Raw genomic sequence first — 5,130 nt, 5'->3', positions numbered from 1 at the left:
TGAAGCCGACTGCCTCTAATCGCCCAAAGTTGATGTCTTAGATCACACTCCCCAGATAACCATGCTTCCTTCCTCCCCGCTACTGGGATAGTGTAATTTAGAACTGCCTGGAAATCCTGAGTAAAATCGCCTAGAGAAGTCCCCATTGCAGGCCCCCGCAGGTCCCGTCACCATGCCTTGCCCTGCACATCCAGTCACCACTCAGGATTGTGGGTGGCAAGGATGGCCCAGGGAAGACTTCAGCTCCTTTAGCCTGTGCACAGGCTGTCAGAGAAATCCCAGGGGCTGGGCTTCTGGGACCTAGAGGAAGATCCCATGGCCAGGCTATTGGAATAACTTGGTTTTGAACTTTACTTTTTCTTTTCTTTTTTTTTTTTTTTGAGACAGAGTCTGGCTCTTTCGCCCAGGCTGGAGTGCAATGGTGAGATCTCGGCTCACTGTAACCTCTGCCTCCTTGGTTCAAGCAATTCTCCTGCCTCAGCCCCTGAGTAGCTGAGATTACAGGCGCCTGCCACCATGCCTGGCTCATTTTTGTATTTCAGTAGAGACAGGGTTTCACCATGTTGGCCAGGCTGGTCTTGAACTCCTGATGTCAGGTGATCCATCTGCCTCGGCCTCTCAAATTGCTGGGATTACAGGTGTGAGCCACTGTGCCTGGCCTCAAACTTTTCTTTTCTTTCTTTCTTTCTTTCTTTTTTTTTTTTTTTTTTTTTTTTTTTGAGACAGAGTCTCACTCTGTTACCCAGGTTGGATGCAGTGGCACGGCTCACAGCAGCCTCAACCTTCTGGGCTCAGGTCATCCTGCCACTTCAGCCTCCCAAGTAGCTGGGACCACAGGCATACACCAAAACACCTGGCTAATTTTTGTATTTTTTGTAGAGACAGGGTTTTGCTATGTTGGCCAGGCTGTTCTTGAACTCCTGGGCTCAAGCGATCCTCCCGCCTCAGCCTCCTAAAGTGCTAGAATTACAGGCATGAGCCACCACATCCAGCTGATTTCTGACTTTTCTAACTTACATATTTACATGTATGGTATGTGGCCTCCATTTATACTCTTATCCCAGACCATGCTGATATATCAGGCAAGTTCTAGATTCTGGTATAGGAATGGCAAATACATGGCAAGCCCACTGTGACTGCCCCCTCCCTGATTGTGGCAGACATCAGCAATGGATCATAGCACTCTTTCTCCCGGAGATGCAGCCTCAGAACTGTCTCTCACACAGCCCCGCCAGCAGCCACTCCTCATCACCCATCCACACAGGAGGTGCAAGGGGATTTCCTTCCTTGTTCTAGCATTTTCTACATGGCAGCCTGCTCTGCAGCCCACAACATCCAGCAAGAGGCCTCAGTCTTGCCCGGAAACTTTTTTCTCCTCTTGAAAAGAAACCGCTGATGCTAGATGTTAGTGGAAAGTAGATAAACAACACTTGAATACTGTCTTTGGTGTGGCTCAGAAAGTTCTGATGTTATAAGAAGAAAAAAATGAACAAAATAATTTTCCATTTGGGGAGTAATTACTTATATTAAAAACATTTTTTAAACCCACTCTTTCCTCTGAAGAGATGAATGTTTTGCATTAAGGCCTAACACATTCTGACTCTCAGGATTTTTTTGGCAGAACAGAAAATCCTGATGGCTTTTTTTTTTTTTAAGAGACAAGGTCTCACTATGTTGCCCAGGCTAGTCTCGAACTCCTTGGCTGAAGTGATCCACATGCCTCAGCCTCCCAAATTGCTGGGATTACAGGCATGAGCCACCTCGCCAAGCCCCTCCAGGCTCTTTTCGTTTAAACAATTTATTTTCCTTCTCTGTGTGGATCTCTGTTTCTGCGCCTTTTTCTTTCTGTCTCTATTTCTTTTATCTCTCTGTGTATCTCTGTGAGTGCATTTGTCTTTCTCAGTCTCAATCTCTTCATCTCTTCCTCTGTCACTCTCTTCCTCAAAGGGCTGGCAGTCCATCTCTTTACGTGAATCTCTCTCATGGAGTGTTTGTGGGTGTGTCTCTGACTTTCTATTATTATTATTATTATTTAGAGATGGGTTCTCACTCTGTCACCCGGGCTGGAATGCAGTGGCACGATCTTGGCTCACTGCAGCCTCAATCTCCTGGGCTCTAGTTATCCTCCCGCCTCAGCCTCCCAAGTAGCTGGGACTACAGGCGCCGGCCATCATGTCTGGCTAATTTTTGTATTTTTTGTAGAGACAGGGTTTCGTCGTGTTGCCCAGGCTGGTCTTGAACTCCGGATCTCAAGTGATCTGCCTGCCTCGGCCTCCCAAAGTGCTGGGATTACAGGTGTGAGCCACCGTGCCCAGCTGTCTCTGACTTTCTTTGTCTCCATCTCTGTATGTGGATCCCTCATTCTCAATCTTTGTCTATTTCTCTCTTACGCTGTATGTTGTATATGACCGACTTTCTCTATGTGACTCTATATCATCTAGCTTTCTTTTTCTGTCTGTCTCTCTCTCTGTGAAGTTTATCTTTCTGTCTCTGTGTTTCCCTATCCCTCCATGTCAGTTTCTCTTGATTTTCCTCTCCCTTTCTCCATTTCTCTCTGTCTCTCTCTCTCTCTGCTCTTTTCCCTCCCCTGACCCCTTGCCTCCAATCCACCCCCATTTCTCTTTTTTCCCTCCCTTTTCCCCTCCTCTAGAGTCTCAAGATTGGGGCCAGGCAGCAAGACAGTGAATATAAAGTGAAAAGTCACCTGGAGATTTCCAGGCCACCAGATGTGCAACGTATTCAGACAGAACAGCTGGATCATTTAACAGCTTCCTTGTTTTCCCCCAGAACATCCGCTGCGGGGGTGTCTCACACAGCATATCTACATGAAGACACGCAGGTGTGTGCCCCCGTGTGTTGCCTCATGAGACCCTGTGCAAAAGTCACCATTGTCTGAAAGCCCCACTTGTATCCTTTAATGTAATCTGATTCAAATTTCTTCCCCTGCAACTTCCCTCTTTTCCTCTTCTTACATAACATAGCTAAAAAACCTGGTGCTGTTTAATCATCTCAGATACCTTCCACTGGCTTCCTGTGATCTTCAAGTGATCTTGTGAGTGAGGTGTTTGGAAAGATGAGACAAAATGAGGAAGAAAGTCTAAAGAAAGCCCTGGAGAGAGCTGGAAAGAAAACCCTCAAATTCAGCGCCAATCATGGTGGCTCACACCTGTAATCCCAGCACTTTGGGAGGCCAAGGTGGGTGGATTGCTTGAGACCAGGAGTTCGAGACCAGCCTGACCAACATGATGAAATCCCTTCTCTACTAAAAATACAAAAATTATCCTGGCATGGTGGTGGGCACCTGTAATCCCAACTACTCAGGAGGCTGAGGTGGGAGAATTGCTTGAACCCAGGAGGTGGAGGTTACAGTAAGCCGAGATCACACCACTACACTCAAGCCTGGGCGATGCAGCAAGACCCTGTCTCAAAAAAACAAAAACAAAAGCAAATACAAAACTCAAATTCAGGGCACTGCATTGTTCTTGGCCCCATTATACAGATGAAAGAACTCTAGGGTCCAAAAGCTCAAAAGAACCTGTACTCCAACCCCAAACTCCTAGCTCTTATCATGCAACTCAACTGCCAGCATCACAGACAAAGCAAAGCTGGAAAAGACCTCACACATGGGGCTGCATGGTGCAGAGAGCATTGCCTCAGCCTCTCATGTCGGCTAGACAACACTGAGTTCAAATCCCTTTCCTGGGACTTAGAAGCTGCCGACTTGGGCAAGCCGTGTCAGCTCTCTGAGCCTCGGTTTCCTTATCTATAGAATGGTAATAATAACAGTATCTCGACCAGGCGTGGTGGCTCACACCTGTAATCCTAGCACTTTGGGAGGCTGAAGCAGGGGATCACCTGAGGTCAGGAGTTCGAGACCAGCATGACCAACATGGTGAAACCCCGTCTCTACTAAAAATACAAAAATTAGCTGGGTGTGGTGGCGGGCACCTGTAATCCCAGCTACTCGGCAGTCTGAGGCAGGAGAATCACTTGAAGCCGGGAGGCAGAGGTTGTAGTGAGCCGAGATCGTGCCATTGCACTCCAGCCTGGGCGACAGAACGAGACTCCGTCTCAAGATAGTAATAATAACAACAACAACAACAGTATCTCTCTCTCAGAGGGGTGTTGTGAAGATCTGATGAAACGAGACATGTAGAGTTCCGAAATGATAGTAAGGACTAGAAAATGTATGTTGTTGTTAGAATTAGTACAAAACTGAGGCCCAAGTTTACACAAATTAGGTAATGGCAGATCCAGGCTTAGCAGCTGGTCTTGCAGCTCTCACTCCAGCATATTATTTCCTTTTTTTTTCTTCTTGAGATGGAGTCTCGCTCTGTCGCCCAGGCTAGAATGCAGTGGCGTGATCTCAGCTCACTGCAACCTCCGCCTCCCAGGTTCAAGCGATTCTCCTGCCTCAGCCTCCTGAGTAGCTACGACTAGAGGGGTGCGCCACCGCGCCTGGCAAATTTTTTCTATATTTAGTAGAGATAGGGTTTCATCATGTTGGCCAGGCTGGTCTCAAACTCTTGACCTCAAGTGATCTGCCCGCCTCGACCTCCCAAAGTGCTGGGATTACAGACGTGAGCCACCGCAGCTCTTGTATTTTCACCAAGAGAGTTTCTTGCTACTTACTCTTCCACCAAAAACAGTGATAATACTAATTATTTTAGTTATTACAGCTGAGACTCTGTGTTCCAGATCCCATCTTAACACCTTACACCTGCTCATCAAATCATTGTGACAACCTTGTAACATAGGTCCCATCATTATCCTTAGTTTATAGATGAGGAAACTGAGGCCCAGAAAGCAAGAGAACCTTGCCCAAGGTCACACAGCTAGTAGACAGCAGGGCTAGGATGCAAAGGCAGGCAGCCGGCCCCAGAGTCCACCTTGTAATCTCTGCACTCACTGCTTTCCATTAAACTTCTTGGGGATTTACCGCAAATCATGGTTACTTTTCTTTACTATTATCTCTATATATATATCAATTGACTTTCACTTACACAAGTAATATGTGAATGAATACATTCTAAAAAACAAAAACAAAATTAGGGCATGACTGACAAAACTAAACTCTGCTTGGACATTACTCTTATTTTCCACTGTGAGTAGTTTGGTAAGAATCCTCTC

At 46.5% G+C, this 5,130-nt stretch overlaps 1 annotated feature.

Annotated features, from left to right (window-relative positions):
* Positions 1,164–1,325: a silencer, noted in NCBI's record as "fragment chr12:111218408-111218569 (GRCh37/hg19 assembly coordinates)". NCBI's record gives its function as "represses an EF-1alpha promoter that drives an FKBP-Casp9 reporter gene in an ReSE screen in K562 erythroleukemia cells {active_cell/tissue: K562}" and the evidence as "EXISTENCE:reporter gene assay evidence [ECO:0000049][PMID:32094911]".

The sequence above is a fragment of the Homo sapiens genome, chromosome 12, assembly GCF_000001405.40.
Source record: "Homo sapiens chromosome 12, GRCh38.p14 Primary Assembly".
NCBI lineage: Eukaryota > Metazoa > Chordata > Mammalia > Primates > Hominidae > Homo > Homo sapiens.
This window is presented reverse-complemented; position numbering and strand designations above follow the sequence as displayed.